This window comes from Homo sapiens, chromosome 10 (assembly GCF_000001405.40).
Source record: "Homo sapiens chromosome 10, GRCh38.p14 Primary Assembly".
NCBI classification, from domain to species: domain Eukaryota; kingdom Metazoa; phylum Chordata; class Mammalia; order Primates; family Hominidae; genus Homo; species Homo sapiens.
Window position 1 is genome coordinate 116352671 of NC_000010.11, and position 27914 is coordinate 116380584.

The window sequence follows — 27914 nt, forward strand, 5'->3', positions numbered from 1 at the left end:
TAATGGAATGAATATTCCCCTCTAAGATCAGGAACAAGACAAGGATATTTACTCTTACAACTTCTAATCAACATTATAGTGGGGGTTTTAGGCAGAGCAATTAGGAAAAAAAAAAAGAGAAAAAGAAAAAGCATCCATATTGGAAAGGAAGAGGTAAAGCTATCTCTATTCAAAGATAACATGATCTCGTATATAGAAAACCTAAGGAATCTACAGGAAAACTATTAGAGCTAATAAACAAGGCCGGGCACAGTGGCTCATGCCTGTAATCCCAGTACTTTGGGAGGCCAAGGCGGGTGGATCACGAGGTCAGGAGATCAAGACCATCCTGGCTAACATGGTGAAACCCCGTCTCTACTCAAAATACAAAAAATTAGCCGGGCATGGTGGTGGGCGCCTGTAGTCCCAGCTACTCAGGAGTCTGAGGCAGGAGAATGGCATGAAACCTGGAGGTGGAGCTTGCAGTGAGCCGAGATCGCGCCACTGCACTCCTTCCTGGGCGACAGAGCGAGACTCCATCTCAAAAAAAAAAGAATAAATGTGTACATCCACCTCATACCATACACAAAAATTAACTCAAAATGGATCAGACAGCTAAATGTAAGAGCTAAAAATGAAAAACTCTTATAAGAAAATACGGGTGTAACTCTTCATGAGCTTGGATTAGGGAATGGTTTATTTTAGATATGCACAAGCAATAAAGTATAGATAAATTGGACTTCATCAAAGTTAAAAACTCTTGTGTTTCAAAGGATACTATCAAGGAAGTGAAAAGACGACCACAAAATGGGAGAAAATATTTGCAAATCATATATAAGGGACTTGTATTCAGAATATATTAAAAACTCTTACAACTTAATAAAAAGATAACCCAATTTAAAAATGGACAAAGGAATTAAATAGACGTTTCCCAAAAAAGCTATACAAAGCCACTTCCAGTAGGGGCTTGTCTTCCAGGACAAGATGTGGAGGAGAAAGACAGTGGTATTGATGATCCTGACCTTGTGTAGGCCTAGCCTAATTATATGTGTTTGAGTGTAAATAGTTTAAAAAGAAAAAAAATATTTTTATACAAATGTACGATGTATTTTTTTAAGCAACATGAAAAGTTGCTTACATTATTAGTTATCAGGGAAAGGCAAATCAAGACCACAATGAGATACCACTAGTGTGGCTATAATAAAGGTGGACAGCAATAGTGTTGGCAAGAATATGGAGAAATTGGAGAAATGTAAAATGATGCAACTGCTTTGGAAGCAGTTTGGCCGTTTCTCAAAGCATTAAACCTAGAGTTACCATATGATTCAATGATTCCACTTCCAGGTATTTAAGAGAATTACAAACATGTCCACACAAGACCTTGTACAGTCGTGCACCACATAACAGCATTTCAGTCTATGAAAGACCATGTATGACAGTGGTGCAATAAGATTATAATGGAGCTGAAAATATTCCTATTGCCTAGTGACGTTGTGGCACAACATATTACATGTTTTTGTGATCGCAGTGTAAACAAACCTATTGTGCTGCCAGTCATATAAAAGTATAGCACATAAAATTATGTACAGTACATAATACTTGCTAAAGATAATAAATGACTATGTCACTGGTTTATGTATTATTATACTTTTTATAATTATTATTTAGAGTATATTCCTCCTACTTATTAAAAAAAGTTAACTGTAAAAAAAGTTAACTGTAAAACAGCCTCAGGCAGGTCCTGTAAGAATTATTCTAGAAGGCATTGTTATCATAGAAGATGACAGCTCCAGGCCAGGCATGGTGGCTCACGACTGTAATCCCAGCACTTTGGGAGGCTGAGGCAGGCAGATTGCCTGAGCTCAGGAGTTTGAGACCAGCCTGGGCAACATGGTGAAACCCCGTCTCTACTAAAATACAAAAAATTAGCCGGGCATGGTGGCATGCACCTGTAGTCCCAGCTACTTGGGAGGCTGAGGCAGTATAATTGCTTTAACCCAGGAGGCGGAGGCGGAGGTTGCAGTGAGCTGAGATCATGCCACTGCACTCCAGCCTGGGTGACAGAGCGAGACTCTGTCTCAAAAAATAATAATAGTAATAAATAAAAGAAGATGACAGCTCCATCCATGTTATTGCCCCTGAGGGCCTTCCAGTAGGGGCTTGTCTTCCAGGACAAGATGTTATGGAGGTCAAAGATAGTGGTATTGATGATCCCACCCTTGTGTAGGCCTAGGCTAATTGTGTGTATTTGTGTCTTCGTTTTTTACAAAAAAAGTTTAAGAAGTAAAACATAATATATTTTACAACTGTACTGTATATTTGTTTTAAGCTAAGTGTTATTACAAGTCAAAATGTTTTTAAAAAGTTAACTTAAAAAGTTAAAGAAAGTGAAAGTTAATTTATTATCAAAGAAAGAAAAATATTTTTAAAGTAGTGTAGCCTAAGCGTAGTGTTGATAATGTCTAGAGCAGTGTACGGTAATGTCGTGGGCCTATGCATTCACTCACCACTCATTGACTCACTCAAAGCAACTTCCAGTACTACAAGCTCCATTCATGGTAAGTATCTTACACAGGTATACCATTTTTTATCTTTTATACTGTATTTTTGCTGTACCTTTTCTAGGTTTAGATATATTTAGATACACAAATGCTTATTACGGTGTGCCTACAGTGTTCAGTACAGTAACATGCTGTATAGGTTTGTAACCTATGAGCAATAGGCTATACAGTATAGCCTATGTGTGTAGTAGGCTACCCCATCTTAGTGAGTGTGAGTACACTTGATGATGTTCTCACAACAACATAATCACATAAGGACTTTTTTCTCAGAACATATCCCTGTTGTCAAACAACACATGGCTGTACATGAATGTTCATAGCATTATTCGTAGTAGCAAAAAAGTGGAAACAACCCAAATGTCAATCACGTGAGGAATCCAAAAACAAAATATGGGCATATATATACAGTGGAATTATATTCAGGCATCAAATAAATGAAACACTGAAACATGCTACAAAATGGGTAGTCCTTTTAATCATTATGCTAAGTGATAGAAGCCAGATGCAAAAGACCACATATTGTATGATTCCATTGTTGTGAAATATCCAGAATAGGCAAATCTGTATATAGAGAAAGTAGATCAGTGGTTGCCTAGGGCTGGCAGAGTTAGGGGAAATTGGGAATGACTGCTAACAGGTATGGAGTTTCTTTGGTGGGGGGAGTGAAATGTTCCAAAATTATATAATGGTAATTGGATGCACATATCTGTGAAAATACTAAAGCCCAATGAATTGTATACTTTAAAAGGATGAATTATGTGGTATGTGAATTATGTATCAATAAAAACTGTTTGTAAAAGGAACCAAAGGGGCTCTAAAAGTTAGGAAATACAATATCTGGGCCGGGTGCAGTGGCTCACACCTGTAATCCCAGCACTTTGGGAGGCCGAGGCAGGCAGAACACGAGGTCAGGAGTTCGAGACCAGCCTGACCAACATGGTGAAACCCGTCTCTATTAAAAACACAAAAATTAGCCAGGCATGGTGGCGAGCACCTGTAATCGCAGCTGCTTAGGAGGCTGAGGCAGGAGAATCGCTTGAACCCGGGAGGCAAAAGTTGCAGTGAGCCGAGATGGCGCCACTGCACTCCAACCTGGGCAACAGAGCAAGACTCCACTCAGAAAAAAAGAAAAGAAAGAGAAAGAAAGGGGGGGAGGAGGAAGAAGAGGGGAGGGAGGGAGGAAGGAAGGAAGGAAGGAAGGAAACCTGATATGAAAAATTTCCTGGAAGAGATTAAGAGCAGATCAGAGGCCGCAGAAGAAGAGACCAGTGAATTTAGAGATAACTTAAAAAATGGAAACACAGAGGGAAACAAAAGACTTCAAAAAGCTAAAAAGCTGCTCAGAGACATGTGGAACAACATAAAAGAATCTAATAAAATGTGTAAGTGGAGTTCCAGAAATTATGGCAGAAGAGAAAGAATATTTGAAAATTTAGGAGATGAGTCTTAAAGGATGAATTGGGATTTGTCATGAGAATAAAGGGAGCAAGGGCATTTTAGGTAGAAGAAACAATATTAGCAATATTGTGAAAGCTTGTAGCCATATTATGAGTACTATGCAATGTCATTTTAAATGTGTTTTAATTATAAAGGATAGTTTTCTTATTTGGAACTTTATTTCACTAAGTGATATTACATATTTTGAATTCTCTTTTGGTAGGCTAACCATCTACTAACTTATCCTTTTGTATCCAGCTGGTGATTAATAAGTTCTGGTCAGTTTCTTAAAAAGAGTTACTAGTTGGCCAGGGGAAGCTAGTTGGAGCTTAAAATTAACCGTATGCTGCTTAGATTTTTACTACATGAGAAAACGTTAATAATTGCTGACGTAAGGCAAAGCTTAAATGCTTAAAATAGATTTTTTGCATTTGTTTAGTTTTCTATTTCTTTTTAGATTTTTTAGGATTGATTTTTTTTCTATTTCTGTGAAGAATACCATTGGAATTTTCATGGGGATTGCATTGACTCTGTATATTGCTTTGGATAGTATGGATATTTTAACAACGTTAATTCTTCCAATCCATAGACATGGATATCTTTTCACTTATTTGTGTTGTCTTCACTTTCTTTCATCTGTGTTTTATAGTTTTTAGTGTACAGGTCTTTTACTTCCGGGGTTAAATTTATTTCTAAGTATTTTATTTTTGATGCTTTTGTATCTGTTTCTAGAAATGAAGTCAATGGAACATGATAGTAGCCAGTTAAATGAACTTCAAAAACAAAAGAGTGAATTGATACAAGAATTATTTACTCTCCAAAGAAAACTTAAAGGTATTACCTTCATGAGTTAGCTTATTTTGCTGATAAATATAGTTATATATGCATGATAAGGGCATATTATTCTTTTAAAATATATTAACCTGTTGTGATATAGTGCTATTATTGGTATAAAAAAGAAATAGATAAAACACTAATCAACGTGAGATCTGATATTTTTAATGTCACAAATTTTTTGAAGATCTTTTTTGTGCATGTAATTGCTATATTAAAGTAGAAAATAAAAATCATTAGTGTATAAATTTTATATGCAAGCACCAAAAATTAGAGTACTGTTCTTATGAGTGAATAAAGATAATCTTTATGTTTAATTTTCAAAAGATTGCAACTATTTTTTGATTTGTTTAGTTTTTGAAGATGAAGAGAATGAATCCATTTGTACTACCAAATATCTAGAGGCAGAAAAAATAAAAATCAGTGAAAAGCCTCAAAATGATACAGAATGCTTAAGGTAAGAGTTTCCTGTTATATTTTGGCCTAAATCAGGTAATTTTTCAAGTTAAATAGATTTCAGTATAAAGCTAAGTGCATCAATTATTAATTTGAAGTTCCAGATGAGGACATTATTTTCTTCTCTGTGTATTCTGACACGTGCTAATAAGGAAACACTTCAGGGCCTAGAAAGTGCTACACATAAGTTCATGATGCGTTGGGTTGATGACTGATAATAGTGAAATTAATTATATCTTTTCTTGAGACTCAGTATTTTTCACATCCCAAGAGATAAGACAACTCTCCTTTCTGTTATTCCTAACTTTTGGCGGGAAATGATTGAAATTACTTTTAATCTTTCTAGATTCCAGCGGTGGGAGGAAATCAGTCTGCTATTTTACTTGACATTTGTTACTCTGGTTTTGTTCTTAAAAAGTGAAAATGTATTTTCTGTATGGATTATTTAGATGATTTTTATGCATTTGGATAATGAATGTATGATATTTGAAGTGACATAGTCATAAACACAAGGAGTAAAGACCTCAAGTTTTAAAATTTGACTCTCATTGATTAACAATTTAGTGTTACCTTTGCTGGCTTAATTTTAAAGAAGTTCCTGCACTTTCTAGGTTTCATATAAGAAAAGAAACCTCATTACTGGATCTATGAAGAAGCAAATGAAGCCTTCTTTCACATAAATCGTATAGGAAATATGTCCACTAGAGCTGAACAAATGCTTCATATTAGCAGTGTATTACCTTAGGCAATAATTTTAGTAGATTGTGAGACAATATTTGCAATTTAATTTTATGTTAAGTTTTATAAGCATAAAATATCAATCTCTTGGGTGATATGTATGATGCAGAATGAGTTTTGATAATGACAATCTGCTCATTCATTTTTTTTTGCACTTTAAAAAATGGTGATGCCCACTGGTGTCATTAGAGTTAGTAGTGTGAGGGCTTCCAATCTGAACTCCAGTTTTGTAGGTTTATCACTCAGTCATAAAAATGTGCTCTGGGTTAAAATTAAACACACAAAGTCTGTTAGAGAATGCTTTTTCCTTCACAAATGATGACTTAGGAAATTTGGATAGAAAGAAATACCAGTGCATATATTTAGTCCATTCATTGCATTTTAGCAGTTATTAAATTAAATGCCAATATTTATCAATTCCTACTTTTTCATTCATTGATATGTGTACTTAGTTTCCCAATTAGCATGTTTCATAAGTTTTCCCAGGTGTGAAGAGTGAAGTCAAAGTACTGAGTATAAAGATTTTAGGAAAGAGGACTATCAGTCTTACAATTAATGCAATAACAAGAAGCTAATGATGTCAAAAAACAATAAGACATTGATTCAGCTTCATCATGAAGGCCAAAATTAAGTTGATGTTGTTATTGAATTTTGGGATAGAATAGTCTTTTTCATCTCTGTGTTCAAATGTATATGGAATTCCATAATAGTTGCATTTCTCTTAATTTGTCGGGTTTGACTTCTTAATGGAGTAGATGTTATTTTTATAGCAGGATTTCTCAAACTTGGCCTTGTTGACATTTTAGACCAGATTATTCTTTGTTGTCGGGGGCTGTTCAATGCATTGTGAGATGTTTAGTAGTAACCCTGTCCTCTACCCACTAGATGCAGTAGCACCCTGCATTCACCGGTTGTGGCAACCAAAAATGTCTCCAGACATTGCAAAATGTCCGCTGGGGAAGGGGGTTGCAAAGTCCCCCCAAGTTGAGAACCAGCTTTATTTTAAGGTTATTATGACTTCTACATTCATTAACTTTAACCAGTAAGAAAGCAATTACAGAGGAAATCTTTAATATTAATTCATTTCTATGAGCTTACTGTTTCTAGTTTTAGTAATTAGACAACTTTAATACATGCTTTATTTTGTCTATATTGAAATTCTTTTATAACGATTATGGTTCATGTTTTAAAGCTTAATATGCCATGTTCAGGTTATTTGTTGGAATCTATCTTGATGTTATCCATTACTGTAGAGAACCAGTGTTTCACAGTTTAGTGGTCTCTGCTTTAGGTAAAGTTTGCATTCACAATGGTTTAATGGTTCACATTCAGAATGATAATAGTCTCTGCTTTAAATAATCTGTCTCTATTTATAAATATCAAGATGTTTGTTTATTTAAACATTCTGTTTTGAAGAGTAAGTGTGTAACTAACACACATTTAAGCAGCTGACTTATAGAATATTGCTATGATTTACACTTAAACCATAGGTTAGGTTAATTTATCAGAAACCTCCCAAAGAGGTATGTAATTATGACTGATCTGGTTTTTTCATATAGTGTAGGGAGAACAGAAATAATAAAGATCAGAGTCTTAAGAGGCAGTAAGCATAGTGGTTAAACCCTTTTGAAACCCAGCTCTCCCCCCACTTATGGTTCATCTTTCTTTCACTCTTTGCATCTTGCACAGTCCAGGGCACATAGTGTTCAATAAATATTTGTTCCCGTAATTGAGTCTACATATAATTGAATTTTCACTACGAAAAGATTAAAGTTCATCTTCATATATTTTCAGTGTTATTTGCAAAGACATTATGTATTCTAACCACTGGGAAAGTGCCACTTTGGAATGGATTATTTTCATTCCTATCTTTTTCTTCGATGTGGAAAAAGCTTTACAAGTTTAATCATGCTGACCTCCCCTTAGTCCCTCATTCCCTTATCCTAATGTGGAGAGGAGTGACACAGTCTGATCGGTGAATCTGGAAAGGCAAACTGGGAAATGTGGAGCCCAGCCCCTTTCTTTTCCCTGTCTCTTTGGAACATTGCCTGCCTCAGAGAGCGTGTTTTCCCACTCTGCTTCTCCATCTCTTAAGTTTTATCATTGCTGGACTCCACAAGAGAAAGCCTGTGGGGTCCACTGCTACCTTTAATGGTGTGAGTTAAGTTAGTCTAATACTGGGGTTTGATATTAGCAAACCCTTGCCTACAGATTTAAGCCACATTCTCCAGTATCTGCTATATCAGTAATAAATGTGACATTTATGCTTGCCTTCTGCCTTTCTTATTTTTTGATTGGGCAGATTTCAGGCAGGAAAGAAGAGTATTATATATTGGGCCTCTGTAAACCCCCAAACCTATTATTATTATTATTATTATTATTATTATTATTATTATTATTATTATTATTTGAGACAAAGTCTTGCTCTGTATCCCAGAGCAAGGGATTACAGGCATGCACCGCCACGCCTGACTAATTTTTGTATTTTTAGTAGAGACACGGTTTCACCACGTTGGCCAGACTGATCTCGAACTCCTGACCCCAAGTGATACACCTGCCTCAGTCTCCCAAAGTGTTAAGATTACAGGCGTGAGCCACTGCACAAACCTATTATTTTTTGTTATTACCCAACACGAGGTTTACCAAAATGCACAGTTCTTGATCATGATTTTTTTTATTTACTCCAAATTATAACATAACAGACAATTTTAAACATTTCAGGAATTTTCTTTCACCACAAAACTTCCTTCTAGAATGGTTGTACATCTTGTATTACTGATATTTGTGCTTGTTTAATGCAATAGGAAGATTGTTTTAGGAATAAATCTGCATAGGCAACAGCATGAGATTTTCATTCTGAGCACTTAAAGATGGTGTGGCTTTGTTTCATCACCACAAGACAGGGCAATAAGAACAAAAAGAAATGAAAAGAAAAAAAGGTAGTATGGTTTGTGAAGAGCATATTTGCAATGTAAGCTGCACAAAAGTTAATATACACCTGCTACGAGAGACTCTAAATGCATTAATGTCATGTAGTAAAGCAGTGCTGTGACCTCTTCAGTGAAAAAGTCATCTAGTTAAGTTGGTCATAGAGGTCACACTGTTGGTCCTTAGACTTGTAAGAAGGCATAAACTCAATATGGTATTAACATGTTTTCAAACTCTTTCAAGGATACATAAATAAATATGTATATTTTCACATGTATATATTTTTTATTATGAGAACAGGCGGGCCAGGTGTGGTGGCTCATGCCTGTAATCCTAACACTTTGGGAGGCCAACGGGGGCAGATCACGAGGTCAGGAGATTGAGACCATCCTGGCTAACATGGTGAAACCCCGTCTCTACTAAAAATACAAAAAAAACTAGCCGGGCGTGGTGGCAGGCACCTGTAGCCTCAGCTACTCGGGAGGCTGAGGCAGGAGAATGGTGTGAACCTGAGAGGCAGAGCTTGCAGTGAGCCGAGATCGCTTTTCATACCCTTGCTCTGACACCCCAAGTGTGACTACTGTTAAAAGTTTGATGTGTATACTGTCAGAATTTATTTCTGTTTGTGTGTGTACACACATGTACATAGGTATGTCTGTGTGTGTTTAGCAAAAATGGGATTATGAATCACACTGGTCTGCAGTTTGCTTAATTATTTATCAAAATGTAGATGTTTTCATTTTAGTTTGTACTAATCTTCATTCTTTTTCATGCTATTATATGGAGATGCCATATTTATATAACCAGTCTCTCATTAATGGATGTACAAGATAGTTTCTAAATATTCATAATTAGACACACTTTTATAAATGTATCCTTAAATACTTGCAAGAGTCTTTCTGTAACATTATTTAGAATAAGCAGCATTTCGTAGAGTAATATGAATTGTTACCCAGGTTCCATTTATAAAATAGTCTACATTATCTTTGCTCTTTGTTTTCAACAACAGAGAAGCTCAAAGTAGACAAGAGTAACAAGATCTCAGTTCTACAGTGTCCTCAAAATATTAGTCAAATAGTTGTGTGTCTGTACCTTACCTATATTGTCTCCATCTTTTTTAACATTTATAAAATATGAGAATCCCCATTTAATTCCAGGACTGTTTTTTAGCTCTATATTTTGCTGAATATTTCTGTTGACTCTGCATCTTTTCTGGTAAAACTTCATCATTTATTCACTAACAGAAGTGTCTCTACAGCATTGATTATGTAGCCTTCAAGCTAATAGAGATCCCCTGTTTTGTGAATCCTTGGCACATACTGTAGTTATTAAAGCTTCAAAGCAAATACAGAGGAAATTTTTACGGTAGACTCCATTGATTATTTTAAAAGTTATATTCTGATATAAATGTAACTTTTCCCCTAAATTGTGAAATAATTTTATTATACAAGCCATACAAAATATTACAGTGATTATTTTCTAAATTCATTGGTATCTTTAATGTCATACAGATTTCTTTTTTCATTTTCCTATGTTTATCTTTATAAATCAACCCCTTTTGGTGTGGGTTTGGGAAGATGACAGAAAATATGTGGTAAAAGGAGATGCCTACCCCAACCAACCAGGATTTGGAGGAAGGGAGATGCTGGCAGGACCGCTCCCTCTTCTAGCCCTTTCTCAGCAGATTCCTCTGGTCTAGCCTTACACACCTGTGAAAGCTCTTACCTATCTGCTCTTGGCCTGGACTGAAGGAAAGCAGAATTAGAAAACTGATAATTCTACTGTCACACATTCAACTTTCATACCCACTTTCAGAAATAAATTATATATGAAATTGGAGTACTGATAGTACTTTAAATAGAATAATTTTGTGCTTAAATGCCACTAAAATAATTTTATATGAATTAATATAGAGATAGAGAATATGTAAAAAGTCAGTCCATGGAAAAACCAGTGGAAAGTAGGAAGAACTACTTATTAAACCTCTAGTGTGATTAAGAAAACCAAAAAGGACAAGATTAATAAATTTAACATACAAGATTTAAAATTTCGGCTGGGCGCAGTGAGTCACGTCTATAATCCCAACACTTTGGGAGGCCAAAGCAGGTGGATCACCTGAGGTAAGGAGTTCGAGACTGGCCTGGCCAACATGGTGAAACCCCGCCTCTACTACAAATACAAAAATTAGCTGGGGGTGGATGCCTGTAATCCCAGCTACTCAGGATGCTGAGGCAGGAGAATCTCTTGAACCCAGGAGGCAGAGGTTGCAATGAGCCGAGATCACATCATTGCACTTCAGCCTGGGCAACAGGAGCGAGACTTGGTCTCAAAAAAAAAAAAAAAAAATAATAATAATAGATTTAAAGTTTCATGTGTCAATAAAAGTCATCAAGATTAAATGGTAAACTGGAATAAAATTATAGTCATTATGATAAACAAAGGATAACAGCTTGTTAAAAAATCAACTGATAAAAATCCATTAGAAAACATTAAATTAGTGGTTCTTTATCCATGCATTTATCAAACATGGATTAAACACCTACTTTGTACCGTACAGTAGGCTAGTTGCTGGGGATACCAACATGAGTAAGACAATGTAATTGAGCTATACTGATTATCAATAAAATGTAAATTAAAACCACTAAATATTATTTAGTCTATCAATTTTTGAAAGATCAAATGATCATAATCAAAATTGGCAAGTGTGTGCTGCAGAGATGACTTATACATGGCTGGTGGCAGTATACATGCTTAGATATATTTGGAATGAAATTTAAGACAAACAAATTATTATAAGCATCTTAAAATGTTTATGCCATTTGACCCAATAATTCCATTTATGAGCTGTATTCTAAGGAAGACAATGCTAAGTACAGAAGAAGCTTTATGCTCACAAAGGTGTTCATAGTAATATTATTTATGGTAAAAAAAAAACTGAAATGCCCTGTTATAAGAAATGATTATGTTAATTAGTGATGTAACCACTAGAATTACTACATATTTCTCTTAAATAGTATTAATTGGTATGCAATTAATAGTTAACTGGGGGAAATATATAGAATAGCATTGAGCACACACACAAATACATACACACAAAAGCAAAACTAGGAAGCAAAATTGTATAATCACTTATATGAAAACTAGAGACTGCAATGAAATATACATAAATTTTAACAGCATTGCATTTGAGCACTAGGACTTTGGGTGAAATCTGTCCTTTCTACTTTAAATAGTAGTGTGTACAATTCTGTAGCTAAAATGAGTATGTTGTTAATTAAGGGTTTTCTATGTCTCTGAGAGGTAACTGAAAAAAATTTGTAATGATGCAGGAAATTATAAAAATACATGGAACATAAGTTTTTCTAAACTAATTAGCAATGTTGGCCTATCATAGTCATTATTTGATGACTCAGAGAAAAGTGACAATAACCAGTGCAAAGTGCCCTTAGTTCAGTGAGTGAGGGAAGTCCTTGACTCCTGTAGGCAATCAGTCTATGCACTGAAGCATGAGATCTACTTACCATTATATTGCTTTGGCTAGCTGCAAATGTATTAATATTCATGCCATTATCATCTGGCCTCTTTTGAAGCTAGCAACAGCAATCTTTTCTTTAAGTGCAGATCTAAATTCTACAGCTTGATTATATGCTAAATAGGGAAGTACTTCCTATAATTTGCTCTGCATGCCCTCCTTAATTTCAGCAGTCTCTCATTCTTATTTTTAGGTAACTAAAAGGGTGAGTGGTCACCACCTAATTCTGATAGGCATGAGAAGTCATACAGAACCTGTAGTCCATTTGAAGTGAAGAGATGGATGAGCACGTGTTGATGGAATGGTGGGAATATCTCTACCATTTTATTTGAAAAATAAATTTATTAAAAAGAAGGCTTATGTACATTTCAATAGCAGCATCCATAGTATATTGTAACTCTCCACTTAACTTTCCATTTACTCTTTAAAAATATTTATTACAAGGGTTTTTATACATGTGTAAATATATGATGCTTAAAATTAGTAATTTATCTTTCCTTATTAAGCATTCCTTTAGATTTCTCATTTACTATTAAATTCCTAAAAGTTCAGACAGAACACAGTGAACTTCCATATACATATGTGCTGCATAATGACATTTCAATCAACAGCATATCACATATCTAAGAGTGGTCCCATAAGATTATAAGACTGCACTTTTTATTCCACCTTTTCTATGTTTAGATACACACATACTTACCATTGTGTTTCAGTTGCCTACAGTATTCAGTACAGTAACATGTGGTACAGGTTTGTAACCTATGATCATCTGCTATACCCTATAGCCTAGGTGTCTGGTGTGCTATCCAATCTAGGTTTGTGTAAGTTCACTCTATGATATTTATACAATGACAAAATCACCTAACTATGCATTTCTCACAATATTTTCCTGTTGTTAAACGATGTATGACTGAATAGGGTATTTCACCATCCACCCTTATTATAAATATTATATTTTTATTCCCTAGTGGTCCTTAAAATAATATATGTAAACTATATGTAATTTCTAAAGTATACTAATATAATGAGCACCTGTGAACTAAATATGAGCTAAATATGAGCTAAAAATAATCATCCATGAAATAAACTAGAATATTACCGATAACTTGCATTAGCTATGGCTTCTCTTTTATTCCATACTCCCTTCATTACCCCAGATATCGTTGATGTCCTATATTGTATTTCATTTTCTTGTGCATGTCGTTCTACAATGTGATTCATTTACTTGTGTATATATAATTTTCTTTATAGTATTATATAACTAACTTTAGTTTACAGCATGCATTTATCATCTAACCTATACATACATGCACAATCTATTGGTTATTTGTATTTGTTTTTGAGTTCTGTAAAAATTATATTATACTATCTGGGATTTGTATTTTATTCAATGTTTTTTCTAAGATTTACCCACGTTGGTGAGTGTAGATGTATGACCATAGCATATTTTTTTCTCTTTTTAATGGACATTTGGTTTGTTTCAAGATTTTGGTATCACCAGCAGTGCTGCTGGTGCACATATGCAAGAGTTGTTCCAGGATAGATGCCTGTTGGAATTGCTGAGTGTGGGGCATGCGAATGTTGAACTTCACAAGATGACGACAGACTATTTTCCAGTGTGATTAAGCCAGTTTATATTCTCATTAGCACATTATGAAATTTCCTGTTGATCTCCATCCTCTTCAATGCTTTTTAAAGACTTTTTAGTTTTTGCCAATCTTGTGGACATAAGATGGTATTTCATGATCTCTAATGGCCTTGTCCTGACTACGTATATGGTTGAGCATCTTTTGCATCTGTTTATGATCCATGCATTTTTTTCTGTAAAGTAACTCTTATTTTTCTACTAGATTGTTTGAGTAATTTGTCTTTTTCCTATTAATTTCCAGAAGTTTTAAAGTTTTGCTCTTTCAGTAGTTGTGAATTTTGTCTGTTAATGAATTAAAAATATCTTCTCCAATTTTATGGGGTTTTGTTGTTTGCTTTAGGCTGTTCTAGTTGAAGAGTTCCTACTTTTGCTGTGGTTGAAATTTTTAATCATTTTTTATAGTTAGCATTTTTGTTTCTTGGTTAACAATATTCTATTGTATATTTCAAAATAGCCACAAGAGAGGATTTTGAATGTTCTCATGATAAAGTAATGATAAATGTATGAGGTGATGGATATACAAAATACCCTGATTTGACTGTTGCACATTGTATGCATGTATCAAAACATCACACTGTATCCCAAAAATATGTGCAACTATTATGTCATATTAACAAAATTAGAGGCCAGGCGCGGTGGCTTATGCCTGTAATCCCAGCAGTTTGGGAGGCTGACGCGGGCGGATCACAAGGTCAGGGGATCGAGACCATCCTGGCTAACACAGTGAAATCCCATCTCTACTAAAAGTACAAAAAACTTATCTGGGCGTGGTGGCGGGTGTTTGTAGTCCCAGCTACTCAGGAGGCTGAGGCAGGAGAATGGTGTGAACCCAGGAGGCAGAGCTTGCAGCCTGGGTGACAGAGCGAGACTCTGTCTCAAAAAGAAAAAAAAAATTAGAAAATTAACAAACAGGAAATTTATCATTGGTACAGTACTATTATCTAACAGTCTATATTAATATTTCCCCTGTTATCTTAATAGTGTTCATTATAGCTACTTTTCTTCTTTCTTTTTCACTTCCTTTCTGTCTCTTTCTTGTCTTCTTTCCCTTTCTCCTCTCTCTCTCCTTCTTATATCTAGGAACCAATTGAGGATTACAAATTATGTTTTCTTCTAAGCTCTTTTATTCAAGAACAATTCCTCTCCTTTCATTAAATTGACACTTTTTCTGAGGTGTCAAGGCTAGTTGTTTTATAGAATGTTCTTCAGTTTGTACTTATTTGTTCCTTTGAGATTATATGCAAGTTAATTTTTTTTGGCAAGAATATTATGTAAGTGATAGTGTGTCTTTTTCAGAGCATTATATCAGGAGGCTCATAATGTCAGTTTGTTTCATTTTTGGTAATGTTAAGTTTGATCCCTTAGTTAAGATTACATCTGCCAGATTTCTCTGGTGAGAAAGTACTATTTTTCCATTGGTAGTACTAAGTAATATATAGGATGACCCTTTGATACCTTGTACATATCCTTTCCCCAATAACCCTTCTCTCAACCATTTATTGTCCACTAATGATTCCTCCTTGAATCAGTTATTACAATGGTGGCTGCAAAATGGTAATTTCTAATCATGGCATTCTTTATGTATTTATTAATTGGTAAAGTTCTTTTAAAAAGAGGTTTCCTTTTCCCCTCCTTCCCCCACCCTTTTTATTTCTCCTTTAAAAAAAAATTCTCTACGTACTCATGCACCTTTTAAAGTTACATGGGTCATAATCCATTACCGTCATTATTATTTTTGATACCCCAATTTTCCCAAATTTGGCCAGAGGCAATCCCTCTGAAATTGATTTCTGTGTGGGTTTTTAAAAACCACTTTTTTTCTGGTGCAAGAAGGTGTTCCAGGCTCTTCTTTTACATACCTCCCTCAATCCTGGAACCAATTATTTTTTTCAAGAAGCCCTATTATCTTTGAGTTGGGAATAGTATTTAGAAATTCAGACCACAGTACTAGATGTGCTCATTGCTACTGGATGTCATTGCTTCTAAGCACTTTAAGTGGACACAACTAAAATTACCATTTTTAAATGGTAAATTTACACAATCTCCTCCAACTCAAATCTAAAATGACTGGGTTTTTCTTCTCCTTCCTCCATTCTGTATGTATGTCTTCTTTCTAGTTAAAACTCTGGTTCTCAATTATATCAATGTAATTATTAATATCCTAAATCCTACAAATATCACAAAATAATTTTAGAATTACTAGCCATGTACCCCCACTAACAACAAGCCTACTAAATAAAGTATAAGATTCCTCTATAATTCTTAGTGCCTTACTACACATCCCACTGAGGGTGAATAGACTATTGTGTTCAAAAATCACTTTAATTCTTTTTTATTTTTTCTTATGATTATAAATTTGAAATGCAGTTAGGCTTATTCATTTCCATTTGTGTTTAACTCAAGTGTTCTTTTCGTCTAACTTTAGGGCTCATTTTCTCAGCTTTATTGATGGAATTTTATTTGATAAATAAGTAAAACATCAATGTAATTGAAGAGTAAAAGTATATAAAAAGATACATCCAGAGGTGTTTCATTCCATTCTCTATCCTACTGCATTTTCACTCACTGCTGTAGGTTACTGTTTTTGCTAGTTTTTGATTCATCCTTCCTGTGTTTCTTTTTCCAAAAATAGACATTTAATTATATATTCTCATATCCCTTTCTCTTTCACAAATGTTAACACACTGTATATAGTCTTTTGTATCTTTCCGTTTTTTATTTAACAATATATCCTGGAATTCATTTTGTAATAGTTAAAAGAGATTATCTTCATTTTTATAGCTATATAATACTTCATTGTAATAGATGTACTACAGTTTATGCAACCAGTCTCATATGAATAGACACTTAAATTGTTTCCAGTATTTTGTGATTACAAATAATGCTGCAATAAATAATCTTGTGTATATGTTGTTTTGTATTTATACAGTATCTTACTGGATATGGAGTGGCAGTGTCAAAGGGAAAATGCAAATGTAGTTTTGTTGGATCTTGCCCCATTCTTCTCCATCGAGGTCATACCATTTTGAATTTCCTCTAGCAATGTTTGAGCACAATTTTTTTTTCCCATAATCTTGCCAAAAGAGTTTGTTGTCAAGTTTTTGAAGTTTTGCCAGTGTGATAGATGAGAAACAATATTCATGTGTAGTATATTTGCAACTCTTCATTATGAGTGAATTTGAGTGTTTATGCCTTGAAGAACCATTTGTAAATTGTTTTTTTAACTACCTATCTATGACTTTTTCCCATTTTTCTATCAGGCTTTTGGTCTTTTTTGTCCCTGATTAGAAAATTTATTTATATATTATGGAGATTAATCCTTTATCTGTGACATATGTGGCAAATATTTTCTTATGGTTTGTCATTTATCTTTGAACTTTACTTACGGTGGTTTTTGCTACACAACCTTTTAAACGTAATTGAATTTAATACTCTTTTCTTTTATTGCATTTGTGTTTTGAGCAATAGTTTAAAAGTCTTTACTTGCACCCAGTTTATCGAATAATTTATTGATGCTTTCACTTTGACCTTGTACGGTTTCATTTTTTACATTTAAATCTTTGATCCATTTCGAGGGTATTCTTGTATATGCTGTATAATATAGATCCAACTTTAGCTTTGGCAATCCATTTATATCCATTTGCAAATGACTATCCAGTTTTCTCAACACAATTTAATGAAGAGTCTATCTCTTTTTCCCAGTGGTTTGAGGTGTCACCTCTATTATCTACTAGATTTCCATTTATACTTTACTCTGTCTGTCTTCTACTGTATCCCACTGTTCTATTTATATGCCAGTACTGCAGTGTTTTAATTATAAAAGATAAATAGTAGGATTTAGTGGTTGGTAGGGCTAGTCACTCCTTTTTTTTTTTCTTTCTCAGGGCTTTCCTAAAAAGAAAAAGATTAAAGAGCCTTATTTGAATGTTTATTTTTTTCCATATAAACTTTAGGATCAATTTGCCTAGCATCAAGGAAAAAATTTGTATTTTTATCAGGATCATATTCAATCTGATTTAATGTAGAAATAATTAACATTTTTATGATGTCCTATGAAAGAAAAAGTCATGTTATTATTGATGAAAATGAAGGCTATTTTTGTATGCTAATTTTATATCTTGTCACCTTACTAAATTATTTTATTATTTGAATTTTTTTATTCATTGATATTTTTGAGTTTTCAGTTATATTGTCATATTACCTGAAAATTAAAATAACTTTATTTTGTCTCTCAAACTATTATGCCTCTAATTATTTTCTCTAGACTAATTTTAATGGCTAGTTCTTCCAACTTAATATTAAAAAGTAATAAAGGTAATGGGCATCCTTATTCCTGACCTTAAGGAGATTGACTCTAGTGTTTCCCCAGCAATAATATGCTTACTTTGGGATTGACATATGTATTTTTTTTATTGGGTAAAAATAATATGTATTAATTCTGATTTTATTGAAAGTTTTTTTAAAATCAGGGATAAGTTTTAATATTTTAAACACCCTTTCAGCACCTCTGAAGATAATCATATTATTTTTCCCTTGGAAATATTAATATGGTCAATTATATTAATGAATTTCTAATATTTAACCATACATTAATTCCGGGAACAAATCCTAATAGATCTTAGTGTATTATTTATTTAATGTGGTATTGGATTCTTTTTACTAATATTTTATTTATAATTTTTGCATTAGTATTCATAGACATGTGTATGTGTGTGTATATGTATTCACTATCTTGATCAGGTCTGCTATCAGTGTTATGCTTGCTTCAGGAAAAGAAATTCACTGTTTTCCTTATATCTTCATAATTTAGATCAATTTATATAGTTTTTGGATTATCTGGTGTCTCAAAGTATTTTTGCTTTTTGTTCATAATACAGTTTTTAAAAAACTTCATCAGCAAAACAAAACAAAAACTTTCTTCATTTCAGCTATGGTTACTGGGTGAGAAATAGACAAATTTGCAGGGACTATAACATTTAAAGACAAGAAGGAATCAAGAAATGGAAATGAAAAGCACTGGAAAGACAAAAAGAACATCATTAAATCAAAACACTGCAACTGTCTCTCCCCAAAAGATAAGAGAGCCATTGATTTAAACAAATTTCTTCCACCATACAGAAGCCATTACTTTCAACTGTGAGGCCTCAGACCTTCTCTCAGTGTTTCCCTACACGGGGAAAGACTTTCACTTTCTGAGGGTCATTTAATCTGTATTTCATCACCCTTAGGCACCCTTTTTCCTTTCTTCTATCTACCATTGAGTGGTTACTTAACTCTTTCTGCATTGGTGTGGGCTTCAGAGCTGAAGTTAGATGTTTATTTCCCTATTTACATGTAATTTCAAGTTTTGCAAAATCCTCTGTTTCCTTCTTAGCTTGTATACATAACTTATAGGTAGTTTTATTTGGTTTTCGTATTGAGAGGTCTTTTTTACATTATTTTTCCTTTTGGAAACTTAAACATTTTTAATTAAAAAATTTTGAATTAAAAAAATTTAATTGTTATTTTGTAGGAACTTTGGCTACTGTCATTGCCTTTTTTAAAACTTACATAGAGAAAATTTACCTTTTAGTATACAGTGAATTGGCAAAAATATTCAGTTATGTAACCACCACTGCAATCAAGATATAGAATACTTTGATGATCCCAGAATGTACCCTCCTGCCTATTTATACTCAGTGCCTGCGTTCCAGCCCCAGCCCCTGATCTGTTTTCCTAATTTTGCTTTTTCCAATATGTCGTACAAATGGAATAATATGCTATGTATCCTCTTCGGTCTGGCTTTTTAGATTTACCATAGTGCATTTGAGATTATATTTGTTCATTTGTCAGTAATAATGGTAGAGAATTCTACAAAAATAATGAAATACTTTAGAGCACAGATACAAGAAGCTCAGAGAGCCCCAAGCAGCATTAAAGAAAAACAAACATCTATACACATCATATTTGAACCTCTGAAAAATAAAGATAAAGAGAAACTCAGGAAGGAAGGCAGAAAGAGAAAAGACACAAAGACATTATATACAAAGGAATGAAGATAATAACTATAGAAGACTTCTCATCAGAAATCATGCAAACCAGAAGACAAGGGAATGACATCCTAAAGAATGAAAGTAACAGCTGCCAGCTCAGAATTGTCAGTGAAAATCCCTTTCACAAATGGAGGCAAATACAGATATTTTTAGACAAACTCAAGTTGATTGAATTTCTTGCAAACGGACTACATTACAGAAAAGGGCTGTATAAGTTTTTCAGAAAGAAGGACTATACCAGATAGAAATTTGGAGCTATGCAAAGAAATAATAAAACTCCAGAAATGGTTCAAATGGGCCAGTCATGGTGGCTCATACCTATAATCCCAGTACTTTGAGAGGCTGAAGTGGGCAGATAGCTTGAGTCTAGGAGTTCAAGCCCTGGAGTTTGAGACTACCCTGGACAACATAGAGAGACCCCATCTCTAATTAAAAATAAATAAATAAATGAAAGATAATGAAGATAAATATAAAATTAGAAATGAAAATGAAGTTAAACATAAAGGCCCCTTTTTCACTTTTAATTAATGTAACAAATAAGTGACAAAAGCAAAAAAGTAGGAATATATTTTAGGTTTATAGCATATGTAAAAACAAAAATATATGATGATGACCGAACAAAAAATGGGAGGGAGAAATTGGAAATAAACTGTTTTAAGTTTCTTATCCTATAAGTGTAGCAAGTGTTATTTTATTTTTATTTTTTTGAGACACAGTCTCTCTTTGTTGCCCAGACTGGAGTGCAGTGGCACAATCTTGGCTCACTGTAACCTCCGTCTCTGGGGTTCAAGCTGTTCTCATGCCTCAGCCACCCAAGTAGCTGGGATTACAGGCGTGTGCCACCACACCTGGCTAATTTTTGTATTTTTACTAGAGACGGGGTTTCCCCATGTTGGCCAGGTCGGTCTTGAACTCCTGGCTTCAAGTGATCTGCCCACCTTGGCTTCCCAAAGTGCTGGGATTACAGGCATGAGCCACTGTGGTCTGGCCAAGTAAAGCAGTGTTATATTATTTGAGAGTACACAGTAATAAATTGAAGTCATGTATTAACCCATATGCAAGCATTACAACTTTAAAAAAATACAGTAGTCCCCCTTATTTGCAGTTTCTTTCTGCAGTTCCAGTTACCCACATTCACCCATGATTCCAAAACATTAAATGAAAAAATTCATAAATAAACAATTCTAAATTGCACACCATTCTGAGTAGCATGATAAACTCCTGGGCAGTTCTGCTCCATTCTTCCCTGGACATAAATCATCCCTTTGTCCAGTGTACCTGCACTGTATATGCTACCTGCCTGCTAGTCATTTCGTAGCCATCTGAGTTATCATATCGACTGTTATGCTATCACAGTCTTTGTGGTAACCCGTATTGCACTTAATGATGAGCCCAAGTCACATGAGTAGTGATGCTGGCAATTCATATATGCCAAAAAGAAGGTGTAAAGTGCTTCCCGTAAGTGAAAAGATGAAAGTTTCTGACTTAAGAAGGAAAGGAAAAAAATTGTGTGCTGAGGTTCCTAAGATCTACAGTGCAATAAGATATCTTGAGAGAGAGACCACATTCATATAACTTTTAGTACAGTATATTGTCATAATTGTTCTATTTTATTATTAGGTATTATTGATAATATCTTTCTGTGCCTAATTTATAAATTAAACTTTATCATAGGTATATATATATATAGGAAAAATCATAGCATATAGAGAGTTCAGTACTGTCTGCAGTTTCAGTTGTCCACTGAGAGTATTGGATCATGTAGCCCCCATGGATAAAGGGGGACTATAGTAAGTATAAGTAATAAGTCAATAGAGGAGATAAAATGTAATTATTTAAAAAGTCCAAAAGCAGGTAGAAAGAGAGGGAAAGAAAAGGGCAAAGCACATATAGAACAAATAGAAAATTATTAGAAAAATCTTATATTTTTAATTCAGCCATATGAATAACTATATTAAATGAAAATGGTCTAAATATGCCAAGTAAAAGACAGATTATTACATTAGATAAAAGAGTAAGACACAAATATATGGTTTCCACAAGAAACTCACTTTAAATATAAAGATGTAGATACGTTAAAAAAAAAAAAAGAATGGAAAGCAATATCCTGTACTAGCGGTCTGGAAGTTCTAGTTTCTTTATATCCTTATCAACACCTGGTACTGCCTATCTTTCATTTTAGTTATTCTGGTGAATGTTTAATGGTATTTCCTTATGCTTTTCTTTGTATTTCCCTGATTCAGAATGAAATTTAATACCATTTCCTATTTTTATTAGCCATTGGACATTTTATTTTGTGAATAGTCTGTAGTTTTGTGAATAGCCTGGGTGTAAGCTATTGCTTCCTGTCTCTGCTTTTACTTTATAATGGCTTTCCTTGTTGGGTGCTTCATGAATTTTTGCTGCAAACTCATTGTTCTCAATCTATGAGAGGGCTGTGGGTCTAAATTTTTTCAGGTTTCCTTTAGAGAATATTTTCTTTTTATTATTATTATTATACTTTAAGTTCTGGGGTACATGTGCAGAACATGCAGATTTGTTACATAGGTATACACATGCCATGGTGGTTTGCTGCACCCATCAACCCATCATCTACATTAGGTATTTCTCCTAATGCTATCCCTCCCCTAGCCCCCCACCCCCCGACAGGCCCCAGTATGTGATGTTCCCCTCCCTGTGTCCACATGTTCTCATTGTTCAGTTCCCACTTATGAGTGAGAACATGCGGTGTTTGGTTTTCTGTTCTTGTATTAGTTTGCTGAAAATCATGGTTTCCAGCTTCATCCATGTCCCTGCAAAGAACATGAACTCATCCCATCTGACAAAGGTCTAATATGCAGAATCTACAAAGAACTTAAATTTACAAGAAAAAAACAAACAGCCCCATCAAAAAGTGGGCCAAGGATATGAACAGACACTTCTCAAAAGAAGACATTTATGCAGCCAACAGATATTTAAAAAAGCTCATTATCACTGGTCATTAGAGAAATGCAAATCAAAACCACAATGAAATACCATCTCACACCAGTTAGAATGGTGATCATTAAAAAGTCAGGAAACAGATGCTGGAGAGGATGTGGAGAAATAGGAACACTTGTACACTGTTAGTGGGAGTGTAAATTAGTTCAACCATTGTGGAAGACAGTATGGCGATTCCTTAAAGATCTAGAACTAGAAATACCATTTGACTCAGCAATCCCATTACTGGGTATATACCCAAAGGATTATAAATCATTCTGCTCTAAAGACACATGCACACATATGTTTATTGTAGCACTGTTCACAATAGCAAAGACTTGGAACCATCCACAGTGTCCATCAATGATGGGCATTTGGATAAAGAAAATGTGGCACATATACACCATGGAATACTATGCAGCCATAGAGAAGATTTTCTTTTGCATCTGCTGGCATCCAGGAAATGCCACTGATCTTACAACTCCTTCAGCTTCCCTTGAGGGTCAGGGCTCAACAAAAGTTCAAATTGATCTACACTTCTCACTTTGTTGCTGGCCCAGGAGTTGCTTAGGTTTGGGAGAGCAATGTTGTTCCTCATATCTCCCCTCAGGGCAGCTTTAACCTCCTAGCTGCCCAATTCCAGGCTCTAGCCTTCTACCTCTTCAGCCACAGCTCCTAGCTTTTGTTTATGTTTTTCTTTTCAGAAAAAAATGTTAGTCATAATGCCAGAAATGGAAAACTTACTTTTACTATTTTCCACATTAAATACAGGTATAAAATAATTTTTAAAAAATTCCTCAAAGTCTGTGCTGATTTGGCAATAAATTTCCAGAGCACATTTATAATCATCAAACTTGTATGATATTAGTACAATTGTTGGCTCTTTGTTTAAGGTTATTCTTTCTATTGCCTATCTGACCTTGCTTTAAAGGGACCAGAATATACCACCCTGAAATTATACCACATTGTCTTAAGGATTATCTTGGCAATTGATACTCAATAGTTACAGGAAGAATTCTCTACCCTTTTAGGCTTTATCTGCTTAAAAGTAAGGCATGAGAAGGGTGACACACTAATTCCAGGGAGAGAGGAGGTACTGTTATCATTGAAGACAGAGCCAATACCAAGATGAGTATGCATAAATAGATTTTAATGAAAATAGCCCTTATCTTCCATTACTACACCCATATACTTCCATATAGTCTAGTTCCTTAAAGTCTCATAAAAAAGAAAAACCGAAAATACAAAAAAATTCAGTATGGGGTAGGGGGAGAGGGGAGGGATAGCATTAGGAGATATACCTAATGTTAAAAGATGAGTTATTGGGTGCAGCACACCAACATGGCACATGTATACATATGTAACAAACCTGCACGTTGTGCACATGTACCCTAAAACTTAAAGTATAATAAAAAAATCAGTATAAACATTTAATTGGATTTTTCTAGAATCATTTCAAAATTAATTTCTTATAGTCATAATTCAGAGGAGACTGCCTTATGTTGGTTCAAGGCCCCTTTGATTGGTTGCTATGAATCTCCTATTTTTTGGGAAACTGGCCCATTTTCAAGATAGATTACATGGCACCTAGCTCCAGAAACTCTATTTTGGTTTGATCATTTCAAATGACAGTCTCTCATAAACTTTAACAACTCCAAACCCCCTTTCCTTCATTAAGAGGGTAATAAACCTGAATGTAACCGCTTCAGTTCTAACCAACCTATTTTTTTGTGATTCCCAATGCACGTTAATAAAATGTATGTGCTTTTTCATGTTAAAAAATTCAAAATATTCAAAAACTTAAAGACTTAATTGGGGAAAAGAAACTTAATTGGGGAAAAGAAAGATGTTGCTTTCTCACTCCCAAATTAAGATATATTTTAATTATGTGTGTATATTATAAAGTTATAGTTTACTTTTAGATCAAGAAGAGAGCTCAAGGGTCATTTTTTTTTCTATACTTAAAAGTTTTCAGGTGAGGTTCAGAGAAGCTAAATGTTTTAACTAAGCTTATTCAGTTTGCTGGTGGCCAGGACTAAAACAGAGATGTTAAGACATAGTACTATATATTTTTTATCCACCAGCTCATGTTGCTCTTTTAGTTATGATAAAATTATTAAATGTCAGCTGGGCGTGGTGGCTAACACCTGTAATCCCAGCACTTTGGGAGGTTCAGGCAGGTGAATCACTTGATGTCAGGAGTTTAAGACCAGCCTAGCCAACATGGCGAAACCCCATCTCTACTAAAAACACAAAAATTAGCTGAGTGTGGTGGCAGCCGCCTGTAATCCCAGCTACTTGGGAGGCTGAGGCAGGAGAATCGCTTGAACCCAGGAAGCAGAGGTTGCAGTGAGCCGAGATCACACCACTGTACTCCAGCCTGGATGACAGAGCGAGACTCCATCTCAAAAAACAACAACAACAAAAATATTAAATGTCTACTAGTCAGTCTACCTTAATTTCTTTATGAAAAGTTTTACCGCAAAATTTTATATAGTCTTTATGGAATTATAGATAATTAAAATATGCCAATTATTTAGTCTTAACTTGAAATTCTGATTATAGAAGCTACAAACTTGTCCCTCTCTGTGCAGTAATACAATTACAGTTTATTATTAAACTAACAGGTGAAATTTTCTTTTAAAATAGACTTAAAAAAGAATTAGAACTTTATAAGGAAGATGACATGGAAAGTGTTTATGAAGCTCTCCAAACAGAAATAGAATTTTTGGAGTTGGTAAGTTATCATTGATTGTTTAACTTTTGTTCAGCATTATTTTACCTACTGGTAAGGAACGGTTTTACTGGTGTACAAATCACTGAACTAGTGTTTAATCCCTCTGCAAAAAACAGAAAAGCAATAATGAAGATAACTAGGATCAGGATGTAAATCTATGAAGTGTTTTGAGTTCCTAGAGAGTTAGGTGCTACATGAAGCAAATTATATTCAAAGAGAATATGTATGATTTCAAAGTAAGTTAAAAAAAAGCAACTTTAGATCTGACCTCATAACATTTCCTTGACTGAAACTGTTATTAGAGGATTACTGCACTGAAGGAAATTTAACTATCATAATGCCTTAAAAGCTTTTTGTTTTTGATAGGCATAAATTATACTTTTATTATATTTGATCCTAAAACTTTCTTATTGCGTATTTGTATAATCTCAAAAACCTTGAATTCAATTGTTGGAAATGTATTTTCAGATTGTGTAGGAGCACTTTAAATTGCTTTAACCTCTTACTTTGGTTGTTTATAAAATGAACACAGTATTTGCCATACTACATTTTAGTGAAAGACATGAATAGCTTTAAACTATCTTAAAATGTAGTTTTAATTTGATACATTGCATGTTGTTACATATTTTAGGTAAACATTTTCTTGTTCAAAAAATGTTTCAATAAGTTACCTTTGAATTTATTTTTTTTTATAAAAAATATAATTAAGAAATGCCCAGAATTTATTGTCATTAAATTTAGGTACATTTTATGTAATTATTTTATTAAGAATTTACTTTTCCTCATGAGTAATTACTATGTTTTCTTTTCAGACATTGGCACAGAAAGATCTTCAGGAAAGCAAATAACTTACAGAGAATTGATCAGCCATCTGAGATTTGATCAGAATATCTGAGAATCAAATCTTTGTGATAGATATATGAATGGTACCCGTTACAACGGATCCTTGTGGGAAATATGGGGTTTAAAATATTCAAATTGTTATTATCTAGAAATGATGTGTTAGCCCTTTAAGATAATTTTTGTCTTGTTACTCAAACTTTAAGAGTTCTTCTGTGGTTTGATTTTGTTTCTAAAAGAAGGAAAAGGAGAAGAAGTAGATACCGTGTTCCCAGGCTTCTTATATGCCCCTGAACCTCAAGCTGTCCTATTCTTTCTAATCTATATAATATGGTTTGGATCTGTGTCCATGCCCAAATCTCATGTTGAATTGTGATCCCCACTGTTGGAGGTGGGTCCTGATAGGAGGTGATTGGGTCATGGGGGTGGGTTTCTCATGAATAGCTTAGCACCATTCTTCTTGGTACTGTCCTTGAGTTCTCCTGAGAGCTAGTTGTTTACTAGTGTATAGCACTTCTCCACTTTGCTCCTGCTGCCACCGTATGAGATGTCTCACTCCCCCTTTGCCTTCAGTCATGATTGGAAACTTCCTGAGGCCTCCCTAGAAGCAGAAGTCACTATGCTTCCTGTACAGCCTGCAGAACCGTGGGACAATTAAACTTGTGTTCTTTGTAAATTACCCAGTCTCATGTATTTCTTCATAGCAATGCGAGAATGGACTGATACACTATACTTTTCATTTTTTGTTGTAGTTTACCTTGGGTCCAATGAAACACACATAGGAAGAAACATTCAGTTTATTGGCCCAGTTTTGTTGGTGCCACTTCCACTAACAAAGGTGCTTGCTTTCATTTTAATTATTCTCTAATCATAAAATGTCTGTTGACAGAGTTCCTCTGAGGACCTTCATCTGTAAAAGTTTTCCTACTTTTCACTGTGTTTCCATGAAGTCTGGGGCACCTGAAGCCATTTTCTGGTTAATGCCAGTGTTGGTTATAATGAAACAAATTATCCACGGGGATATGAATCCCCAGTGGATTATGAGGTACATAATCTCCTTAACAGCCATCAGGATTCATTTTCTCTGGTGACCTGAACTACTGCAACTGAAAACAGTGTAGTTAGGATCGGATCATACTTAGTATTGCTACCAAATTTCCAATATCACTTATCTTTCTGCCGTTACCATTTCTGACTAGACAGAAAGTCTATTGTCTGAAAGTGTATTGACTGA

The 27914-nt window shown here is 34.4% G+C and overlaps 1 protein-coding gene across 5 annotated transcripts in view; it reads left to right on the plus strand.

The window, feature by feature from the left end:
- Positions 1–27359, plus strand: part of CCDC172 (coiled-coil domain containing 172) — a 55582-nt gene extending 28223 nt beyond the window's left edge. For 4 of the 5 annotated variants that reach the window (NM_198515.3, XM_006717820.5, XM_017016206.1 and 1 more), the window contains 4 exons: positions 4710–4811; positions 5166–5268; positions 25753–25840; positions 26653–27359. In NM_198515.3, coding sequence (NP_940917.1) covers positions 4710–4811; positions 5166–5268; positions 25753–25840; positions 26653–26688 — 329 coding nt within the window. In that variant the 3' untranslated portion in view covers positions 26689–27359. Of the gene's footprint in view, positions 1–4709; positions 4812–5165; positions 5269–12658; positions 14426–25752; positions 25841–26652 lie in introns of those variants that run through there. The other variant, XM_011539771.3, reaches the window with a different exon arrangement.
- Positions 27360–27914: the final 555 nt, after the last annotated feature.